Source organism: Homo sapiens, chromosome 3 (assembly GCF_000001405.40).
Source record: "Homo sapiens chromosome 3, GRCh38.p14 Primary Assembly".
NCBI classification, from domain to species: Eukaryota; Metazoa; Chordata; class Mammalia; order Primates; family Hominidae; genus Homo; species Homo sapiens.
The window spans coordinates 33,552,220-33,577,269 of NC_000003.12; the positions used below are offsets into that span (position 1 = coordinate 33,552,220).

Below are 25,050 nucleotides of genomic sequence, written 5' to 3' on the forward strand. Positions count from 1 at the left end.
ACGGCTCTCCTGCCTCAGCCTCCCAAGTAGCCGGAATTACAGGCGCCCGCCACTACACCCAGCTAATTTTTGTGTTTTTAGTAGAGACGAGGTTTCACCATGTTGGCCATGCTGGTCTCGAACTCCTGACCTCATGATCCGCCTGCCTCAGTCTCCCGAAGTGCTGGGATTACAGGCGTGAGCCACCGTGCCCGGCCTATTCTCCCAGTAATTCTTGATGTGTAGGTGCATGGAAGGCAGATGTTTGAAATATGTATATTTGTGGAATGGTTATAATTGAGCTAATTAAGATATGCCTCATATACTTATTTTTTTGTGGTGAGAACACTTAAAATCTATTCTCTTGGCAATTCTCTTTTTATAAATTCAATTTTAAAGTTTTATATATTTAATGTGTACAAGTTTTGATACACATATACATAGTGAAACGTTTCTCATAGTCAAGCAAATCAATGAATCCATCGTTTCAGTCACCCCTTTTCTGTGTGTAGCAAGAGCATCTAAAATCTACTCTTTTAGCAAAAATCCCAAATATAACACAATATTATGAACTATGGTCTTCATGTTGTCTGTTAGATCTCTAGACTTATTCATCCTATAGATCTGCAACTTTGAATACTTTGACCTACATCTCCCCATTCCACATCCCCTCATTAGCAATTTTCAAGTATACAATACATTGTTATTAACTATAGTCACCATGTTGTACCTGTGCACTTAAGAAACAGCATATGACATAGTACACAGTCCTTGGATACAGCAAGGATGCTAAACACATATTCAATGTGAATTTGCTGACTTAGAATAAGGAAGGTTTAAATGTATGATTGAAACTTGAGAAAAAATTGTCAAATTTTAAGGTAATATGTTTTTCTATGTTTTTTCTTCCCTTACTATCGACTTTAATGTCATTTTTGTCACTCAGGTGAAATAAGGTCTCCGGGAAGTGCCATACTGAATAAATTCACAGGAAGTAAAATATTAAAATAAGGTTCTGACACTTGTACATTTTTCCCTTCCTACTTCCAGTTAAAAAAAAGAAGAGATAAAATTACATTTTTCTTTCATAATGAATTTTAAGAAGTATTTATAATTTTACACAGTCAACAAAAGCAAAAATAGACAAATGAGAGTACATCAAACTAAAAAGCTTCTGCATAGCAAAGGAAACAATCAACAGAGTGAAGAGACAACTACAAAATGGGAGAAAATATTGTACTGTAAACCATACATCTGATAAGTGGTTAACATTCAAAATATATAAGAAACTCACATGACTCAATAGCAAGAAAACAAATAAACTATTTAGAAAATGGGCAAAGGATCTGAATAGACATTTGTCAAAGAAAGACATACAAATGGCCAACAGGTATATGGAAGAATGATCAATATCAGTATTCATCAGGGAAAGGCAAACTAAAACCACATTTGAGATATTCACCTCACACCTGTTAGAATGACTGTTATCAAAAAGATGAAAGATATGTGTTGGTGATGATGTGGAGAAAACGAAACTCTTCCACAATGCTGGTGGAAATGTAAATTAGTACTGCCATTATGAAAAATAATATGGAGGTTCCTCAAAAAATTAAAAATAGAACTGCCATATGATCCAGCATTCCACTAGTGGGTATATACCCAAAGGATATGAAATCAGAACGTGGAAGTGACATCTGCACTCCCATGTTCACTGCAGCATTACTCATAATACCAAGATATGGAATCGGCCAGGCGCAGTGGCTCACGCCTGTAATCCCAGCACTTTGAAAGGCTGAGGTGGGCGGATCACCTGATGTCAGGAAGTCAAGGCCAGCCGGGGCCAACGTAGTTAAACCCCATCTATACTAAAAATACAAAAATTAGCCGGGCGTGGTGGTGGGCGCCTGTAATCCCAGCTACTCGGGAGGCTGAAGCAGGAGAATCGCTTGAACATGGGAGGTGGAGTTCCAGTGAACCGAGGTCACACCACTGCGCTCCAGCCTGGGCAACAGGAGCGAAACTGTCTCAAAAAAAAAAAAAAAAAAATGTAATCAACCTAAGTGTCTATCAATGGTTGTAAAGATAAAGAAAATGTGGTATATATACACAATGGAATACTATTCAGCCTTACAAAGAAGGAAATCCTGTCATTTGTGATAACGAAGATGAACCTGGAGGACAATACCGTAAGTGAAATAAGCCAGACATAGAAAGACAAATACTGTATGATCTTATTTACATGCAGCACGTAAAAAGTCAAATTTATAGAAACAGAGAGTAAAATGGAGGTTACCAGAGGGCAGGGGACTGGAGAGATGTTGGTCAAAGGGCACATTTCAGTTAGACAGGAGGAATAAGTTTAAGAGATTTGATTTCTCCATCAGCCAGGAAGATGTTGGTGTAGAGGCCGACATAGCTATCAAGGACAGTAACTACCATGACTCCCGGTGCTATGATAAAACCTCAGATGCACGGCCTTCTGGCCAAGTGTCTGCAATTTCATATTGTAGGAGCATTCATTGTATCCCTGGGGGTAGCAGCTCTTTATAAGTTTGCTGTATCTAAACCAGGAAAGAAGGCACATGAAGATTTCTACAGAAATTATGATTCCATGAAAGATTTTGAGGAGATGAGAAAGGCTGGTATATTTCAGAGTGCAAAGGGATTATGGAATATAAAGAATTTCTTCAGGTTGAATGACCTAGAAGTTTGTAACTGACTTGTGTTTCTGAACTATGAATTATGAATATGTGGGGTAAGAAATAGTTTCTCTTGATAAATAAACAATTAAAACAACAAAAAGAGACCTGTACATCATGGTGACTACAGTTAAGAACAATATATTGCATATTTGAAAATTGATAAAAGAGTGAATTTTATGTATTCTTACCTAAAAAAAAGATACACCTATGAGGTAATACAAATGTTAAATAACTTGATTTAGCCATTCCACAATGCATACATATATCAAAACATTATATGCCATAAATATATAGAATTTTTACTTGTCAATTAAAAGACATATTTATAACTTTAAATAAATTTATTGCAAAAAAACAAAAGTTGACCTATTAGCCATCAGAAATGTGCAGTAGACAGGAAAAGAGACTTCTGGTTAGTTTTAACATACCGGGCACAATTAAATTATGACAGCACATAATATTCTGATTTTTTTTTTTTTTTTTGAGATAAGGTCTCATTCTGTCACCCAGGGTAGAGTGCAGTGGTGTCATCTCGGCTCACTGGTAGCCTTGACATCCCAACTCAAGTGACCCTCCCACCTCAGCTTCCCGAGTAGATAAGATTACAGGTGTGCACCACCACGTCCAGCTAATTAAAAAAAATTTTTTGTAGAGATGGGGTTTTGCCATGTTGCCCAGGCTAGTCTCGAACTGCTGGGCTCTGGTGATCTGCCCACCTTGGTCTCCCAAAGTGGTGGGATTACAGGCATAAGCCACCATTCCCTGGCCAATATTCTGAATTCCTAAAGCAATGTCATCCTCTCTCAGTGTGAATAGCTGGAAGGTGACTATGTTAAATCAAAAAATGAACATCAATGTATTTTGTTTATAATTTGCCACCATCAATAACTGAATATATTTATTTACACTATGTGAGATTCAACTAGTGCAGTGCCTTAGCAATTTATCGTCATGCAAAATTTTACAAGGGTTTCACAGAATGTATGTGTTTACTATACTAATAGGCAACATAACCACAATACATATATAATCATTTGAACATGTATATTTATTAGGATATTTTACAAGGTTATACCTAGTTTATAATTTTAATACAGCAAACATGCATTCTTTTTCAGAGAAGGAAAAACAATCTAGCTGCTAAAGGATGTGAAATTCTTTAATTGTTTGTGAAACCCAGAAAAAGAGGTCAGCAAAGATTATATTTATCTTTAAAGTATTACTAATTCAAATAAAATCACTTTGTATTGCCATTTCCCCCATTGCTTCCTCTTGACATGTAATCACATGACACTCTGAAAGAGATGTAAAATTTTATATAAACATCCATCATTTATCTGAAAGATCAATAAAAAAATTTTCTAGATCTGATACTCAAGTTACATGTGGTTTTCTATAATCTGTTAAATTTTTTATACTTAATCCTGTCACTCACTTGAAAGCTGGTTTTATTTTTGGCATAAAGTATGGCTCCAATATAACTTTTCCCTGCTATTCTAAACACTGGTGTAAGAGTTGAAAAGTGATTTTCTTTCTTTCTTTTTTTTTTTTTTGAGACGGAGTCTCACTCTGTCATCCAGGCTAGAGGGCAGTGGCGCAGACTCGGCTCACTGCATCCTCTGCCTCCTGGGTTCAAGCGATTCTCCTGCCTCAGCCTCCCGAGTAGTTGGGATTACAGATGCCTGCCACCACGCCTGGCTAACTTTTTGTATTTTTAGTAGAGACATGGTTTCACCATGCTGGCCAGCCTGGTCACAAACTACTGACCTCAGATGATCCACCTACCTTGGCCTCCCAAAGTGCTGGGATCACAGGCGTGAGCCACCGTGCCCAGCCAAAAAGTGATTTTCCCTCATGGATTTGCTAATACATCTATTATCTATATTAAATACATATTTATAAATAATTTAGGCTTTTAGAGAAACAATCTGTGATTCCAGTTTCCAGCATAATGTTTTCTAATAGGAAAGTTAATTTTAATTTGTGCATATCTCATTTCAATCTTCGCTTTGTCTTTCTCTTCAAGTCTCCTGCAACTTATTCTCTCTGAACTCAACTATCAACCCCTTATTTTTATTTATTTATTTTTTTGAGACCAAGTCTCACTCTGTCTCCCAAGCTGGAGTGCAGTGGCATGATTTTGGCTCACTGCAACCTCCGCCTCTCCGGTTCAAGTGATTCTCCTGCCTCAGCCTCCCGAGTAGCTGGGACTACAGGTGCCCAACATCACCCCTGGCTAATTTTTGTATTTTCAGTAGAGACAGGGTTTCTCCATGTTGGCCAGGCTGGTCTCAAACTCCTGACCTCAAGTGATCCGCCTGCCTCAGCCTCCCAAAGTGCTGGGATTACAGGTGTGAGCCACGGTGCCCAGCCTCACCCTTACTTCTTAAGCTGGTTTAGACCTTCATTTGCACTGGTTCATGAAACATCTCTATATATATTATCTACTTTTTTCTTTCTTTCCTTTCTCTTTCAATGGACAGGGTCTCACTCTGTCTCTTAAAAAAAGAGGCTCCCAGGCTGGAGTGCAGTGGTGTGATTAGAGCTCACTGTAACCTCACTCCTGGGTTCATGCGATCCTCTTGCCTCACCTCCTGAGTAGCTAGGACTATAGGCATGAACTACCACACCTAGTTAACTCCACATACATTTCAGTAGCACTTGAACACCACTACAGGTACCTATATCATAACTTTTATTACTGTTTAGAGTTTATTATATATTATAGTTAATAATGATAAAATTACAAGCTTTATATTCCCAGGAACACCTAGCACACTGCCTTGGTCATAAAATGAGTTAAAAAATATCTATTAATAATATCAAGTAAATTATTCTTCTGCAGGTCACTTTTCAAAATCAAACAGATGAAATCTCTTTCCCCAAGCAGCTCTAAGAAAACAACATTATATTGAGTGTAAGTTGTGAAAGGAAAATAAAACGGCCTATGCCAAAAGGAAAGTTAAGCTTGGGAACTCAGTCATTCAGAAAACTGACTCCCATTTGTTCATAAACAGACAGCTGCAAGATAGAAGGCTACATAGTTCTTCAGGTGGTCTCCCTCATGCTGACAATGTAAATTAACAGTTTATCTTCACAGGTAGAGGACAACGATGAGACTAGAAATCATCCCCCACTCACCCAGAGACAAATACATTTACTTCTTCCTCTACTCTGTGTTTACTTTCTCTTAGGTAAGATGCAGATTTACTGAGCACGAGATGAATGCCTGACTGTTCCTCTTTCCCCTCAAGCTGGCTCTTTCTCTTTTAAATATTAAAGTCCTCAAAACCCTCTCTGGAAGAATGAACAGGCTTTCTTCTTGTGTCTCTTTCTCCTGGATGCATCCTCAATCTTGGCAAACTAAACCTCTAAATTGATTGAGACTTGTCTCAGACACTTTTCGGTTTACAAAGTCAGCCCTGATAAGAAACATAATTGTGATTCTGAGGCACAATTGCATTCAGAAACTTAAGGGAAAAATCAATCCTGGGCAGTAACGCTTGTAGAAATATATTTCGTGCAGGATAGAGCAGAAAAATATAGGACTCGTATAAGCACATATGCTTGTTATTTCCCTGACTTTAATCTCATTTAATAAAACTCACTAAAAAAAAAAAACCTTTAGCAAAGAATTCAGGAGCTATTCTTTTACATTTTTTCTTTTATGTAAAATTTAATAATCACTTTAAATCACAAATTGGAATCCATTTAGTTTTCATATTAACTGAAAAATGTGTGTATATAACAAACGAGAAAGTTAATTATAACTCCAAATGTTATGCATACATCAGAAAAAAAAAGAAAGTTACTATTTCAGTTAAGGATAATTGAAGAAAGGGACTGAGATTAAATTTAAAAAATTTTGCTTAGTTAATACATAGGCAAAACTGACATTTTGCCTAAAATACCCGTTAAAATGCCTGACACTTAAAAAAAAAAAAAGTAATGGGAAATCACAAACATAAAATTAGATAAGACTTTATAGAGTGAGTTTGCATTACCAGCTTAGGGTTAGATGGCAATAATGTGATGCCTTCCAAACGTGTATCACCATTAAGTTTCTCCAAAAGACTTAGAGTCTGGCATTGCATTTAAATAACATTTGAAATCAAATGTGTGCATGCGTAAAAGGCTTACAAAGGTTAGTAGTTGAATACAGATGCAAACACTGCAGAGAGTTAAGAAAAGAAATAATGCAGATGAAAACAAAAACAATAAAACCTTGGAGCTCCAAAAAGAGTGAAGCTGGTCCCGAAGTGCTGGCTTGACTGTCTGAAAGTTTATAAAAACAAAACCCACTGATTGAACAGCTTCTCATGTGACAGAAATACAAATATCAACATAACTTTATTAATAAATACTTCAATTCTTTATAATGTCTTCAAAAGATCTCAAAGTTTTACCTTTAAGCTTGGTGTCTGGGTCTGATCAACTGTAAATCTCATTAGAATATTGAACTGAAGATCATTTGGAAAAGACTCTCTGAAACAAGAACAAAGCAAAACGAAACAAAAATTTAGTTAGCAAGTACGCATGTAACAGCAAAAGACTATGCTTAATACCAAAACATAATGTCATCCAAAAAACATCCATGAAGTAGTATCTGCATGTGGTATAAACTACCTGGTATAGTATACAATAAATGCATCCTCAGAAGAATATGAACATCTGAATTTGTACTCAGTACAGGGTTAAAAAGTAACTCTACAGGCCGGGAGCGGTGGCTCACGCTTGTATTCCCAGTACTTTGGGAGGCTGAGGCGGGCGGATCACCCGAGGTCAGGAGTTCGAGACCAGCGTGACCAACATGGAGAAACCCCGTCTCTATTAAAAATACAAAATTAGCCAGGCATGGTGGCGCATGTCTGTAATCTCAGCTACTCGGGAGGCTGAGGCAGGAGAATCGCTTGAACCCAGGAGGCAGAGGTTGCAGTGAGCCGAGATTGCGCCATTGCACTCCAGCATGGGCAACAAGAGTGAAACTCCCTCTCAAAGAAAAAAAAAGCAACACTATAGGAAATAATAGTCTATCTTGCCTCAACTATAGATTTAATCAGAAAAATGTATTCAGTAAAAAGTTTAACATTCTTAGAAATGTTTCTCTATACCTAAAATCTGAATTCTGACTCACCTCAACCTAGTAAACAGATATTTGAAATAAGTGACTTCAACAATCTACACAAGAAAGTAGAAATATATCATTGGTTCAAAACCTTCTGAAAAGAGATTTAGAATATTTAAATGCATAATAAAACGTTGTTTAAATACACAGAAAATACTTTTTATAGTAGACTAAATAAAATCTTCAATCTTCAACCTTACTTCGCTGATACTTCTTTTTTTTTTTTCTTTTTTTTGAGACAGAGTCTCGCTCTGTTGCCCACGCTGGAGTGCAGTGGTGCAATCTCGGCTCACTGCAACCTCCACCTCCCAGGTTCAAGCGATTCTCCTTCCTCAGCCTCTGGAGTAGCTGAGATTACAGGTGCCTGCCACCATGCCTGGCTAATTTTTGTATTTTTAGTAGAGATATGGTTTCACCATGTTGACCAGGCTGGTCTCGAACTCCTGACCTCAAGTGATCTGCCTGCCTCAGCCTCCCAAAGTACTAGGATTACAGGTGTGAGCCACCATGCCCAGCTGCTGATACATCAATTAAGATAAAATACCACCTTGAACTACTCAACCAATATTAATACAATTTTTATAAAAAAAAATGCAGGGCTTGACCTAGGGAAAAATGTTGCTTTAAATATACAATATGAATGGGCATAATTAACAATCTTCAAACGGAATCCATGCAGTCTAAATTGTTCAAAGGGACCCAGAAATCTGAACTATTAACACAGGGGTTAGATATTCCTAGTTATTATCAGGTTAACTTGAAATATATGAAAAAAATATTACCTTGTAACATCAAGGGCTTTCTGAACTTTTGCCTGAACAGATCCAAGCAAATCAGCACCCATTTTTTTTAGTAGTTGTGTCAGCAGTACAAACAACCAATCTTGAAGATCATCTTTGTGGACTTGTATGAAATCCACTAGAGTCTCCAAAAACATGCTGAATACCTACAGTTGATAAAGGGGAGAGGTAGGGAGAAAAAAAGAGGAAATATTGACCTCTATGTTCAATTCAAAGCGAATACAGAAAGGAACACAGGAATCAGAGGCACAGCGATTGGCAGCCAAGCGGAAAAACAATCTCTCTTGCTTTTCATTGGACTCTGTGATACAAGAGTACCTTTGAACTGTTATCCAACTTCTGCAGAAGTTCGACAATTAGCTACTCCATGCAGCATCACTTGGTAAAGAAAGTTTGGCCATAATGGCTGGCACACCTAATGTTATCAATGATGCCACAGCTTAAACTGGGTAAAGTGAAATCTGTTTTGTGTAAAATGTAGGGGAAAAAAACTATAGTTTCAGTAACTCTCAGCTTTTCTGAAGAGTGGCACTGAGTAAATGAGAAGATGACTACAATGACCTTAAAGTATAAAATTTATCTGGCATAATAGACTAATTAGAGAATCCTCAGATTTCTCAAAATGACAATTGTCACAAATAATTTGGTATGGGATGTATTATTTATTAAAACTGCCTCAATGGTAATTTTAAATGATTTAACTGTAACTGCATCTAAAATAAATCCAAGATGAATGTCTACATTTAAATTTCAGTGATTTTTAAAAAGTCCTAGATGGCATACTATTAGTCTCCATACCCATTTATGGGTTTTTTACTTACTTCCAATATTAATCTATTTGTTTTAACATTTTTATAAGGTAGAAAAAAATTATTATAGTGAAGGGAAGCTAATGTTTATAAGTGATGTAGCTCATTAAAATACTTATGAAAAGTGACCTTTATCAAGGCTGTATCTCTTTATAAGATAGTCAACACCATAATGGAAAATTAGTTTCTAGATAAAGAAGAAAAAACTGTCAGCCATAATGTATTACTGGACAAATCATAATAAACATTTTGATCACAGATTAAAAACTATGGGTTAAAAAAACTTAAAATTATTAACTTTTCAAGTTAATCTCAAAAAGTAAATATGATAATTTGAGAACTAAGAGTTTTGCTCTCAATGCATATTTTATTTCTTGAATTCCCTTCATACAGTTATAGATGAACTCTTTTTTTTCTTTAGAAATGAAGGATTTTCTTTATCAGAATTATAATTAAGCTTCAACATTTAAACTGAGTTAAAAATAAAAATATACTTTAGCTATTTGCTTAAGACGCTGTATACCTGTAACAGCAGAAACTATAATTAAATTTTTGAGTATTCTCTGGTCCCCAGACAGTGTGTGCTTCAACACTGTTCCTACTCACAGTGTGGATTCCTTTAACTCTCATTCCACCACTACCCCCATAATCCCCCAAGAACTTGGATTCTCTTAGATTCCAAACTTGGCCAACTGCTTCATTAAACTGTCTCTGGCCTTCTCCTGAGGGCCAGGAATATTGTCAAGGAGCTTCACTAGACATAGTCTATGACAAATGCATGTAACTAATCTGGTACTCATTCTTACTGTTACCTAGCAAATCTGTTCAGTCATGTGCTGGCATCAGTTTGCACCTGTCTAGAGAGTCAATTGTTAAATATTCAGGAATCTTGTGAAGTGGTTGGTAGCTTGAAATCTACCACGGGATAGGAGTATTTACATCTCAGAAATGGGCAAACACTACATATCAGAGCTTCCTGCCTCTCCCCCAAAGCTCATTTACTAGGACACCATTGTCCTATTCTTTGGTTCACTTTCACCCTTGTTTCAACACTTGTCTATGCTCCTGAAGATTACAACCTCTAGCTTTCCTATATGAAAATCCATTCTGAAAATCACAGACATTAGAATGCCTAGGTCAACCTCCTATTTTATGGATGAGGAAACAGGGAAGCAGAGAATTACATGACCTGCCCAATGTTTCACAGATGGTTAATAGCTAGGCCAGGACTTAAAGCTAGGTCACTTGGTTTTCAGTTGTGCTCTATCCACTCTATTACCAGATGACCTAACTTATCTTCATTATTGTCATTCAACATGAAATTCTCCATTGACTCTTCCCTCAATTTGATTTCCTCTATACCTATCCTTCTAATTTATCCAAGAAAGAAGTGATTTTCTTCATTTTATGGCTAATCTTTCTACTTTATATTCCTGCTCTCTAAAACATGGTCTCCTCTACTATCTTTACTCTTTTTATTCTCTACCGAAATCCTTTGCTTACAGATGCAGAAGTCATCTCAAGAAATTATCTCTCTGCTTCCATCCTATTGCTCCCACCAATTACTTTCTAATCATGATGTATAATAGCTTCTTCATTAAGTTTAGTATGTTTGGCCGTTCTGTAACTTGACACTGCTTTCCTCTTACTTCCCTTCTTTCTGGTTGCCAGGAATTCTCCTTTTGCATGTCTTCATCCTGATTCTCTTTTCATCATAAGTGTGACCTACTTGACACAGTCTCTCTGATCTATCCCATGAGGCCTTTTTCCTGGCCTTCTCCAAATCTGTTTACCACACCATCACTAAAGGCACCAAGCATTTCTGACCTCAGGTCTGGATTTCTGTAGTAGCCTGACTTTAGTTTTATATTTCCTGTATACCAGGGTTCAGTAAACCATTTTTGTAACAGGCCAGATAGTAAATATCCTAGGGCTTTGCAAGCCATATGGTCTCTATCACAACTACTCAACTTTGCCATTTAGCACAGCCACTGACACCACATAAACAAATAAGCATGGCCGTGTGTCAATATAACTTTATTCACAAAAACAGGCAGCAGGGAAGATGTGGCCTGCAGGCTGTAGTTTGTCAACTCATGTCTCTTTGTTACCATCAGATTGTGATATGACTCTTTGGATGGAAACAAAATCCTTTACTGTTCCTTCACTGTCTGTAAGATAATGTCTAAAATACCTGGACAAGTTTCTAACTCCAAACTGATCTTGGGCTATCTGGAAACATAAACTCTTTATCCTTGAACACACCTCATATATCCACCCTGATTTCCTAACACATCCCCACTCCATTCATTTACACACAGTATGTGACTCTCTATAGAATTTACTATTCAAGTCCTAGTCAAGAAACTTCTTGGATTGCAAGTCAGGGCCACTGATCTTCCTGACTTAGAACTCACAGAGGGGCAAACTATTTATGGTGCTATTTAGCTTTTTCTGTATTTATGTTATTTTCCCATCTCTAACACATACCATTTGAAAATAAAGACTATATTTTTATACAGTCTTGTGTGTCACCAATTAGAACTAGAACCAGGCTTAAGGTTATCAGAGGCTGAGAACCCAATAAAAAGTTTATCAATGAAATCAAGTGAAATTTACCCTCTAATTGGTAGCCAACCCTTTTTCTTCAATGCAAGGGAAGACCTTCCCTTTAGTCTAGCCAAGATTAACTTCTTTTTATTTCCTATAAACTTTCTAGCATCTCCCACTTCTTTTTCTGGACTCAGGCTAGCTACTTCGAATAAGCCCTTTATTCTCACTCTGACATATCCAAAGCTTATGTTCTATTAAGATCTGAGATGCCATTTTCTTCAAGAAGACTTCTCTGAGTTTCCTAAGTAGAAATTTGTTTTGATTATATAAAATGTGAGTAGCTAAATAAAAATGTGGACATGTTATTTGCTGTACTCTACATAAGAAATTGTACTATTTTAAAAATTTTGTTATCACTTTTGAGACAGAGTCTCACTCTGTCACCCAGTCTGCAGTACAGTGGCACGATCATGGTACACTGCAGCCTCAAACTTCTGGGCTTAAGCAATCTTCCCACCTCAGCCTCCTGAGTAGGTAGGGCTACAGGCATGCACCATCATGTCCAGTTAATTTTTTTAGTTTTGTAGAGATGGGGTCTACCTTTGTTGTCCAGGTTAGTCTTGAACTCCTGGCCTTAAGCAATCCTCTCACCTCATTCTCCCAAAGTGCTAGGATTACAGACGTGAGCCATGTGCCTGGCCTGTACTATTATTTTTCAAAAATGCTTATATCCTATCAATGGTACTTAGTAAATGATCATATGCACACACACACACAGCTGACCCTTGAACTACATGCTTTTAAACTGTGTGGGTCCACTTACACGTGGATTTTCTTCCACCTCTGCCACCCCTGAGATAGCAACACCAACCCCTCCTCTTCCTCCTTAGCCTACTCAAGGTGAAGATGACAATAATAAAGATCTTTATGGTGATCCATTCCACCTAACAATTAGTAAGTAAATATATTTTCTCTTCCTTATAATTTTAATAACATTTTATTTTCTTTCTGAGACGGAGTCTCACCTATCACCCAGGGTGGAGTGCACTGGTGCGATCTCGGCTCACTGAAACCTCTGCCTCCCAGGTTCAAGTGATTCTCCTGCCTCAGCCTTCTGTGTAGGTAGGATTACAGGCCAGCGCCACCACACTCGGCTAATTTTTTTGTACTTTTAGTAGAGATAGGGTTTCACCATGTTGGCCTGGCTGGTCTCAAACTCCTGACCTGAGGCGATCTGCCCACCTCAGCCTCCCAAAGTGCTGAGATTACAGACATGAGCCATCACACCTGGCTAATAACATTTTATTTTCTCTAGTTTACTTTATTATAATAATACAGTATATAGGCTGGGCGTGGTGGCTCATGCCTGTAACCCAGAATTTTGGGAGGCCGAGGTGTGTGGATCACCTGAGGTCGGGAGTTCGAGACCAGCCTGACTAACATTGAGAAACCCCGTCTCTACTAAAAATACAAATTTAGCTGGGCGTGGTGGCACATGCCTGTAATCCCAGCTACTCAGGAGGCTGAGGCAGGAGAACTGCTTGAACCCAGGAGGCAGAGATTGTGGTGAGCTGAGATTGAGCCATTGCACTCCAGCCTGGGTGAAAGAGCGAGACTCCGTCTCAAAAAAAAGAAAAAAAAATACAGTATATAATATATATAATAAATAAAATATATGTTAATTGACTATGTTATTGGTAAGGTTTCTGGTCAACACTAGGCTATTAGTAGTTATGTTTTGGGGAGTTAAAAATTATATACAGATTTTTCTATTGCACAGGCGTCTGTGTCCCTCTCTAACCTCCTCATTGTTCAAGGGTCAACTGTACTTACATATACATGCATACATATCTATCTTCATTCATTATCCATATCCAAAATTTATTGAAAGTTATATATAAAACATCTTACTTGATTGCCCTAACACAAAGGGTTCTTGTCAGATGTTAATATGCCCCCATTTCCTAATCTATGATTAAAGAACAAAGTGGAAAGTGGCTATGCTAATATAAAACTAGTGATTCACATGTTCTTTCAGAAGACAAAGATGAGAATTACTATCCCATAATCTACTCTGTTTGCTTTTATGGAATGACATTAATAAAATGTCATTTGTGGGAAGGCAGGGGTTAAATGTTTTTTTAAAAATTGTGAAACTTCAGAATCATTTTAAAATAATTCAATGGAAGCAATCTTCAATAGAATCAATTTATTATCCCACATATCTCATAAATATAATTTGTTGGAAAAGAATTAAAATATTCGAGCTATTACAATTGAGGCAGACTTTTCTTTAACTCCCTTATATCTTAGGTGTGCCAGTCATCAAATAGAACAGAAGAACATAATCAAATTAGATTAATTAGTAGATTAAAAAGCATATCTCCAAACAGAATGATAGTTTGCATAACTGCAAATAGCATTTCGTGGATTGCAAAGGTTCCAACACTGCATGAACTCTTTGGGAGAGAAAATAGAGAAAAAGGGTTAATTTCACAGTCATGCAGTAAAGTTAGGTTTCCAACAAATATTGAACCAACTTACTCTCTATTGAGAGTTCCAACACAGGGGACAGCATGCAAAAAGAAAAAAAGAAAAAAAAGAAAAACACACAAATTAGTCGCCATCAATGCAAAGTTCCTGTATGGAAGAAAAACACTCAGAAAATAATAGTGACAAATGTTTTTCGAAGTTTTATGATAAACTCAAAATAGTTTTTAAAACAAGACTTAAATGAATAGTATGGGAGAAGAACATATGATTTTGTTTCTCTTGCACCTCTTTGCCAGGAAAATTAAGAAAACTAAAGACAAAAACTCTTTTTTTTCCAGACCCTATCAATCCTTGAGGTTAAACATCTGAAAATAATCCAAGAATAATAGACACATACTCCCACTTCTGAATGGGGCCAACATTTGGTTCCAAAGCATAGTCCATAGAATTTTTTCCTTTCTTTTCTCTTTTTTTTCCTCCTCTCAGAAGCAATACTTTCACAAGTTAAAATATTTCTGTGAAGGCTTGAAACAATAACTATTGCTTGGAAGTAATAAAAGTAACTATACTACTACTTTTTATTTTCCCTAGGTAAGATGTGTGTTATGGTCTCCTGATCTAAAGACTGCAGGCAGCTGAGCTGCCTAGAATGCTCGTCAGGAGATTCAACTGTGCCTCATTTTAGTAGCCACAGATTGAATTTCTACCGTAGTTGTCCAAGACTCAAGAGTATGGTTCAAGAGGTAGTGTTACAAATACCATAAAATGCCAATTCAAAGCATGCACCACAGTGAAGGCAGTTCTTTCCAGAGTCAAGTGCCAGAAATATATGGGATGGCTTTTGGCAACTGATACTGCTTGCATTTGAGGGGCAAAAAATGGGTCCAGAGCAGTCAAAATAAAAATCTGCTGCAAACTCCTTAATTTAAAAAATTTGATTTTTAAAAAACGTATATATGGTACTTGGTATGTTCTAAGGGTTTACATGAGGTGGATATTACTATTAACTGTTTTACAGATTAATAATTAATAATTAAAGTACATACTGCTAATAAATTGGAGGTAGAATTTGAACCCAAGCAATCTAGCTCCACTATCCATACCTGTTATTTTAAATTTTCCCTCACACTGCTTAAGTAATCCTTCCAAAAGGTACGTCTTGTCTACTCAGTGACTGCTCACTGCCCTCAAGATAATGTCCAAACAAAGCCTACCATTTTGCAGTACAATATGTGTTGTACTGCTTCACTTATAAAAAATACTAAAAGGCTTTAAATTATACATTTGCTGATTTATGGTCTAAATTATTGTCTTACAGATATTGTGGTTAATTATTTATTTCTATATGGGTATATGAAGGAAAAAAAGTTCATTTATCAAATTACAGACATCAAATAATTTCATCTTCCAAGGGTATAGGTTCCTGAACATATGTTTCTATTTTAGTGTCAACGACAAAGAGTTGATCATATATGACAGGGGTCAGCAAACTATGGCCTGCAAGCTATTTCTAATTCTTACACTTTAAAAAATGACTTTAAAAGCAATCAAAAGGCTATTTAGTGATACATGAAAATTATATAACCACATGGTCAGGCATGGTGGCTCACGCTTGTCATCACAGCACTTTGGGGGGACACAATGGACAGATCACTTGAGGCCAGGAGTTCAAGACCAGCTTGGCCAACATGGTGAGAACCCGTCTCTACTAAAAATACGAAAAATGAGCAGAGTGTGGTGGCACATGACTGTAATCCCAGCTACTTGGAAGGCTGAGGCATGAGAATCGCTTGAACCCGGGAGGCGGAAGTTGCAGTGAGCCAAGATCATGCCACTGCACTCCAGCCTGGGTGACAGAAAGAGATCTTGTCTCAAAAAAAAAAAAAAAAAAAAAATTACACACACACACACCCCCTCACATTTTAATGTTCATAAATAAAGTTTTATTGCAACCCAACACACACATTTGTTTGTTCATTGCCTGTTAAGGGTGCCTTCATGCTATAATGGCATAATTGAGTAGCTGGGATAGAGACCCTTATGGTCTGCAAAGCCACATTATTTACAGAAAATAGTTGCTGAGTCTGATATAGAACAAAATTGCATTCAGAAAGAAGATATCAAAAAAAGTTGCTTGATTCTGAAGATGGAACTGTTGGTCTAAAAATACATTAAAAAGGGAGGGGTGCAGCTATTTAAAAAATATCAGAATACAATGCAAAAACTCAAACATTTTTAACTCGGCACAGGATGGTGACATGTCTAGTATCCTTAATGAATTACATTATTGACAGAGTCTCTGATGGACAATCAATGGCCACACAAAAATCAGAAAATCTTCCCATTACATTTGTCTTCACAGAACTGACTAAAAAACAAAAACCAAAATCAAACAAACAAGATGGGTAGATAAGAATTTTATGTTGCTATAAAGCCCTAAGAAGAGAAATCTGATGCAATCCTAGGGAAAATAGTAGCTGGTTCTCCACCTGTATTAAGAGAGGCCAAACATTTGTGCTCAGTTAAGTTCCTATACCAGTGTTAAACTCAGCTTTCCTATTTGATCTTTTTTAAAAAAGTTTGTCTTTATCACTATACATCATGGCATCCAACCAAACTGCATTACTGACTTAACAAAAAGTCAAAAACTGTGACTTCAAGAAATAATCTAGCTTTGGTCTTATATCTTCCAGTAGCAGGAATTACTGAAGATGCTTAATAACTATATATTTCAAAGTTGAACAGACTGTTAATTTAAATGTTTAATAAAACAAATTAACCCAAATAACTGTCTTGTCCTTTGGCTTATATTGCCAACTAAAAATATCAACAGTTAATCTGTTCAGGATTTATAGAAATTTTTACATTAAAGTAAGACTAACAGCTGTAATCAGTGATAGCAATATCTATCTAGAATGGTATAGTTATCTACATGTTCAATTATAAGTTACAAACTTTAAAAGATTTTAGTAAACTGCTTACCAAATGTATTTTCTTCTTTGTCTTTTAATGGGATATTTTACCCTCAAATAAATATAACTTCTGATAGAATAATCTTTGAAAATATTGTTTTAAAGTATAAGCAATTTATTTAAATAATTAAGTATATCCCCCACTGCATTTAAATCTTTAGCTGGATTTTAGTTTATGTACAATGTGGGATTTCATTATCTTTAAGTAGTGTTGTAAGTAATGAAAATACTAAAAATAGAAAAAAATGAGGAGGAAATGAGATGTGCAACAATAAAGTGAAGACAATAAAAAGAAACAGTAAAGTGAAATTCATTAATATTTTTCTTATTTCCTTGCCACATCTCCCGCTCACTTAGGTTAGAAAGTCTCCTGTAGACATTTGGTATCCTAAGGGAAGATTTCACCATTATCAAACATATTGCTGGAAACAGAATATGTGACCACAGTTTTATAACAGTACTATGCATCAAGGTAAACCAAAATTTCACAGTACACATGCACATTACATATAAGTACTTAAATAAATATATTTTAATCAACATTAAAAATGAACAAAGTTCTGAAAATTTTTATGGACTACTTCAATGTAAGAAATGTCTCTTATATTACTACCAAACTATGGCTGGAACCACATTTTGTGCCTTTGTGTTAATGACAATTCTTTTCTACAAAATTATTATTTCAAAATTGAAACATATTTACATCAATGCTGTAATTAATCACAGACGAAAACAAAATAAAATGTTAAAAACCTTTTCAACTTACCCCAATTATGTCTTTTACAAACACTAAAACAGTCTTAGTAACACAAAATACACCAACTTGACTAAATTACTTGAGTTGTAACTGTATCCCCTTTATTTCAGTCTTAGACCATCTATCATTGGAGAAGCTCAAATAGTTACCAGAGATTAATTTCTAAATTACGTATGATACCAAACAATTTTAATTATGCTTGAAAATATTACTGCCATTTTGGGACAATAAAATAAAAATGGCCTACAGTTTTTCTGCTTTGACAATATACAAATGATACCCTATAGAAATAAATAATCTTAAATACTAAAACATACCTTGCCATGAGGGTCAGCAAACATTCTTGTGAAAATTTCACATAATCTTTTCAGTTCAACTCGACTGCCAAGATAATACAGCGGTTAATTAATATCTTGCTGTAGCAAGAAGTCATGTAAAAGTAACTTTACATATAATTTTCTTTAAAAAAAAAAAAAAAAGGTTAGGTTGGGCATGGTGGCTCACGCCTATAATCCTAGCATTTTGGGAGGCTGAGGTGAGAGGCTCGCTTGAGCCCAGGAGTTCAAGATCAGCATGGGCAAGATGGCAAGATCCTGTCTCTATAAATTTTTTTTTTTTTTTTTTGAGACGGAGTCTCGCTGTCGCCCAGGCTGGAGTGCAGTGGCGCGATCTCGGCTCACTGCAGGCTCCGCCCCCCGGGTTCACGCCATTCTCCTGCCTCAGCCTCCCGAGTAGCTGGGAGTACAGGCGCCCGCCACCTCGCCCAGCTAATTTTTTGTATTTTTAGTAGAGACGGGGTTTCACCGTGTTAGCCAGGATGGTCTCGATCTCCTGACCTCATGATCCGCCCGCCTCAGCCTCCCAAAGTGCTGGGATTACAGGCGTGACCCACCGCGCCCGGCCTGTCTCTATAAATTTTTAACAAAACAGCTGCAATGGTCGGGCACGGTGGTTCATGTCTGTAATCCCAGCACTTTGGAAGGTCGAGGTGGGCAGATCACTGGAGGTCAGGAGTTTGAGACCAGCCTGGCCAACATGGTGAAACCCTGTCTCTACTAAAAATACAAAAAAGTAGCTGCGCTGGTCATGGTGGCACACGTCTATAATCCCAGCTACTCGGGAGGCTGAGGCAGGAAAATTGCTTGAACCCGGGGGGCAGAGGTTGCACTGAGCTGAGATTGTGCCACTGTATGCCAGCCTGGGCGACAGGGTTAGACTCTGTCTCAAAAAAAAAAAAACCAAAAAAACAAAAACAAATCAGCTGGGTGTGGTGGTGCACGCCTGTAGTACCAGCTACGTGGGAGGGTTGTTTGAGCCCAGGAATTTAAGGCAGCAGTGAACAATGATTGTGCCACTGCACTCCATCCTGGGTGACAAAGCGAGATCTCATCTCTTTAAAAACAGAAACAACAACGAAATCAATAGAAAAAATCAACCCTAAAAATTGAGAAATTTGTGGGATGTACCAGTCAGGTCTAAATACAAAGTTACCAAATACAACAATTATTCTGTTGTAACCCACACTATCTTAAAGGTTAAAAGTTAAGAAGAAAAATACAATTATCCTTCATTAATGGAGTGTGACAGGAGAAATTTTACATATGGCATTCCCAATACATGAATTTTATCCTTTTAAGTGTTAAGACGTTTTCTTAAATGTTGCTACTGATAGGATAAAATCATTCTAAACTATGCTTACTCCCTTGCCATTTAAAATGACCAACACATGAATCCTATCCTTTTAGGTGTTAAGACATTTTCTTAAATGTTGCTATACTTACGGGCTAAAATCATTCTAAACTATGCCTACTCCCTTGCCATTTACAATGGCACGCTGAATCTAATATTAACTTAATCTTGATGGGCTGGGAACAATATTATGATGGTGGATTGCAATGATTCATGACATGTGATATGAACACATGAAAATATATTTAGGTGATACAGAAACATTTATTTTAAATTATATAGTTCTAATACTTCCTAAAATAAATACACAGGAAGTAAGTACATCAAACTCTTATTTCACAGGTATCAAGTCAGGAAGTAACCCTGCACATTCCACCATGCTTAAACCTATGAAATATCTGAAGCTAGATTCTCAAAGGGGTCAACTATAGGTTTAAAACATCACACAGACAAGGACAATAAGGCAAGTAGGGGGAAAAAACAAGCTAATACCATTAGTAAAGGAAACAAAACCCCAAACCCAAAATATTAACAAATATCTGTTCTTAAAGAAATTCAGTCCAACTCAACTTTGTATTACACTAAAATTCACATATTACATGCACACTAAGAATATATCTTCATTTCCAAATAAGCATAAACATTCTTCTTCTCATTGAAAAACTTACCAGAAATAAATTTTAATAAACCAGTCAGTTTTATCACTATGTACTTTTTATTATTAAATATTAAAATTAATAACATTTTAAATTTAATTTCTATGTGTGAATAAAAAGTTTCCTTTCAAAATGTTTTGCTTAATAGAACAAATAATTTTTTTTTTTTTTTTTTTAGTAATGAAAGTATAGATGGTCCTAAAAGACTGAAGCTTTGGAAAAACACTTTGAAGCAACCATATGAATTCAGGACAAGTCTGTTTCTACACCAGTATCTCTAAAGTGTTATAGAAACAAAGTAAAATCAAAAAGCGCTAACCTGATAGTAAAATCATTTTAAGACAACGCATCTCACCTTAGTGTTCTCTGATTTTTTAATAAGTTCTGCAGACCTAGGAGGCCTTCTTTCCTTTCTGACCAATTGGAACTAGCACATCTATTGAGGACTTCTGCCACATCTTCCGTCTGCCTCATATATGTAGGAATACTACCATTTCGAGAACTATAGGAGCGTTCTGAACAAGCACTAGATGCATCGCTGTTGGCGTCATCATCTGAATGCATTCCATATGATTCATATCTTCTTCGAGCTGGTTTTTTCTGTTATACATCAAGAATCTCATTAGCAGTAGCCAAAAGAATATATTGGTATTTCATAATTTCTACTGACCACAAAAGGATTGATTTTTGTTTTAAAATCAGTGCAAAGCATGCTCCTAATCATTGTAATAACAGAATGTCAGTATTTAGTTTTTCTTCAGAAAACAAGTTTTAGAAGTTAGTAGAAGGTAAAATAATCCTTAACTATGGGAAGTGGTAGAAGCAGAGTAAGACTATATGGAAGTTCAGATATGTAAAGTGGGAAGCGCTAAAAAATGTGGGTTTTTCCTTTCCCCTTTTCACGAAAAACCAAGAACTACTAGAATGTAAATGAACAGAAACTATACTAGAAATTTGAGTTGGTAAGAAGAAAATATTACCTTTTTAAAGAAAGAGTATAATGGATCAGAAAAACATTTTCCATGTATAAAGTTCCATTTTTTTCTGTCTATCTTTTCTTTATTCTCCTTTTACCTCCATTACCACTTCTCTTGCCACTATTCCTTCCCTTGTACCCAACCCTCATGTCTCCTAGAGAAATAAAATACAAAGAATGATGAAAAACTATTTAGTCTACTATTATTTTAAGGAGGCGAACTCCTTGAGAGCCCTCTATGCTTTTCTCAATGTATCTATATTGTTTAATTCAATAAATATAAGAAAGCATATTCAGATTCCTTTGATTTCTTTACATCTAAATCTTATTTGTTTAATATATGTAAATGCCAGTTATACCTTGCATATTTCAAGTGAAATGAGAAAGAATAGTTTATTTAAGATTTCCTTAAAAGAGCTGAAAACAAATCTTTATGTTATCTGATACTTGAATTTTGGCTGATGAGTGGTGAAGATGTCTATAAAACAGATTAAACACAATAATTCAGTGTGAATGACCTCATTTAATTTGTATGAAGTAGTCAAGCTGAAAGAATGAGCACCTCCAGAGGACATTATTCAAGCAGTATCTCTCTCGATAACCATATTTACAGAAAAATAGATGTATGTCTAAGGATTTTACTTCTACTTTGATTTTTAATAGAAGACCATCATTTGTTAAATTGATGAAAGAAAAAAAAGTTATGGTATCATAAGATGTCAGAAAATAGCAATGTCTATACCTTAGTCCGTATGTCTCCTAAGAGCTGAGAGCAGTAAATTTTTAAAGAGAAAAATTGAAAATAATGAAGAACATTTTGCTAATCAGCACAGTGAAATAGGCATTAACAATGCCTATGATCAGAAACATTACGTTTTTTTCACACATAGGTACAAAGAACTGCTTATTAGCAGGCTGTGTCTTTAATCTTGTCAATATTCTTTAGTTCAAAGAGAAATAGTGATGCTACAAAAAATATTCCCATAACCAGTTTTCTCAAAGAAACCTAAATGTTCTTCCTATTTGGATCCTTTTGTCATTTCCAAAGTTAAGTGTATTTCTATGATTTTCTCCAGCACAAATTAGGCTTACTAGCTGGAAAGTTTTTTCCTAAAAATTGGTAGTTGTAAGTGGAACTTCTGTGCTCTGCAAATAATGGAAGTATTCAGAATCAGATTACTGGGAGTCAAACTTTAGCCTTGGTAGTTAAACATTCCTCATATAATTCAAACACACCATCTCAGTGTTCTAAGTAATAGTTCAAGAAAAACCCAATCAATTCGTAACATTTATGTAAGCAGAATTTAACTGGTAAATTATCCAATTTAAAAAACCCAGAAAACATGATTTGAGATACAGGGATGAGGAATAGCAAATCAAAAACATCTCATTAATTTAATATCATCAGAACAAGATGTGATCAATATATCCCATGTTGAAGAGAACAAAGTCCCTACTTAATTATATTAATTTATAAAAAATAATCAAGTGGCTGAAGTAACGGGAAAAATTCAGCACAGCGAAATGGTTAGCGCAGAACTACACGTGTGATATTCAATAAATTATAGCTATTACCAATGAATATTTTTAAAAACCTGCCTTTTCAAATCTATGTGGCAAACACTGTATTATATCAACACTAGTTAAGATGGGATCTATGATTTTAGGAAGCATATTTTTTTTTAATTTCAAAACAAAGATGAGGCCTCTTACAAGTTCTGGGTAAGAAGCTGAGTAAATGTTTCTCAAACATAGGATTAATATCATAATCTGAAAGAGGAAGTGATACTGAATTGACTTGGGAAATTAGCCAAAGCCAATTACATACATTTTTAAAAATGCTACTTCTTACATAATTTTAAGTGACAAAAACAACGATATATGTATTGCAATCTTCTGACAAGCTATCATGGATCTGTAGAATATGTTTTTAAATCTCACTGTTTAATGTGTCAGACATAAAGAATTATATCTAACTATAAGATATAATATATCTTAATTATAATTTGCCTTGAGGTTGTACTTTCTTTTAGTTCAAAAAACACAGATAAAATACTAAACAAAATCCAGCCCCAAAGTAAAATAATTCCTAAATACCAAAGTTTAAGCTAGAGTTGAAATTACATGATTTTAAGTGTACATATTTATATAGTTTATCTCCCTTAAGTATACTATAGTGTATAAAACACATTACCATATTAAAGACATCTATATTTATATTTCTGATAGGCCATCAGTAATACTGGCCCTGGTATAAAATTCTGATTAATAAGGATCAAGAATTAATTATATTCTGCTTTTTACACTGCCCACGTTTTATCTTTAGATTTAATCACTGATTTTTCCCCAACCCCTTTCCCACATGGATAGACTGGCCTACTCATTCAACAGTTTCGTAATTGGAACATTTATAATGATAAGAAAATGGAGAAGAGTACCAAGGCATCTGCCACCGCCTCCTCCACATCAGAACCTGTGTTCAGGACTCGCATGGCACTAACAGAAGACGACAGTCGACTTGATTGGCTGATCCCATAACCTGGACCTAATTCATCAAAAGAAGGAAAATAGATTTGAAGGAGTCATAAATATAACAGTGTCAGGTTGGGAAACTTTAAGACCTTTACAGGGGAAGGAAAAAAAACCAATGGGGCAAAGCATTTTAAAAGCAATATTGTATTTTCTGGGCACATTTAGTTTTTGGCAAAATAAAAGGGTAAAGACAATTAAAATTACTGACAATGTGTGAAAAATAAAGAACGGTCACTATTCATTTACAACCACAAGGTAGAAGGAAGCATGGCTGGCAGACTAAGGGCTTGCAAGTCTATAGCCCTGTAATCCAGCTCTATCAGTTCAGGCAAATATCATCCATACGGCTGAATCACAGAGTAACCCAGGACAAAGATCAATCCTCAACCAATAGTGGTTAGGGAGATCCATGAAGGCACACTAGAAATTTACAAGGAAAATAAGCTCTAATTATTATCTCCTCTCCTTCAAGATAAGTGGGTTTTATTCTACAACTAAGAGACATCCATTTGATAACTGTTAAGTGTCTACTATGTGCCCGACATTCTGAGGCATACAGAGACAAACCAGAGATGAATTCTCCCCCTCAACTGCTTTCTATACCATCATTTACAATTAAAACACTTCATCCACCATTTTGGTTTTTTTTTTTTTAAACATATATACAAAGATGAGAACATAAAAACAATTCTATATTTAAAAATGACACAACAGGTTATACAAAAAAATGTCCATATACCAGTGAGAAAAATGCTCAATACAGTTGCTAAAGGGGAAAACGTTACTTGGGAGAAAAGAAAAAAAAAGTTTATTCTCCAACAAATTAAATTTAAATAATAAAAAATCAATTTTAAAACATGAATATTATTTAATGGAAACTGAAAAGGATAAAATCTGAGATGAATGCCAGATGATAGTGAAAATGTACTCATCCTTCACCTGAGGCCCCATACACTTCGGGGGCGTAGAGGGCACCAGTTGATCTGGAATGGTGTCTGGAGGCTGGA

The 25,050-nt window shown here is 35.9% G+C and overlaps 1 protein-coding gene and 1 pseudogene across 81 annotated transcripts in view; one reads left to right on the top strand and one right to left on the bottom strand.

The window, feature by feature from the left end:
* Positions 1-25,050, bottom strand: part of CLASP2 (cytoplasmic linker associated protein 2) — a 222,010-nt gene that overhangs the window by 55,975 nt on the left and 140,985 nt on the right. For 15 of the 81 annotated variants that reach the window (NM_001375713.1, NM_001400406.1, NM_001365632.1 and 12 more), the window contains 5 exons: positions 23,950-24,056; positions 20,891-21,135; positions 18,508-18,571; positions 8,589-8,752; positions 7,088-7,166 (listed from right to left, as the gene is read on the bottom strand). In NM_001375713.1, coding sequence (NP_001362642.1) covers positions 7,088-7,166; positions 8,589-8,752; positions 18,508-18,571; positions 20,891-21,135; positions 23,950-24,056 — 659 coding nt within the window. Of the gene's footprint in view, positions 1-6,905; positions 6,957-7,087; positions 7,167-8,588; positions 8,753-14,512; positions 14,516-18,507; positions 18,572-20,890; positions 21,136-22,253; positions 22,278-23,949; positions 24,057-24,982; positions 25,046-25,050 lie in introns of all 81 variants that reach the window. The other 66 variants (XM_017005959.2, NM_001375701.1, NM_001400432.1 and 63 more) reach the window with 12 other exon arrangements.
* On the top strand, positions 2,352-2,770 carry COX6CP10 (cytochrome c oxidase subunit 6C pseudogene 10; annotated as a pseudogene).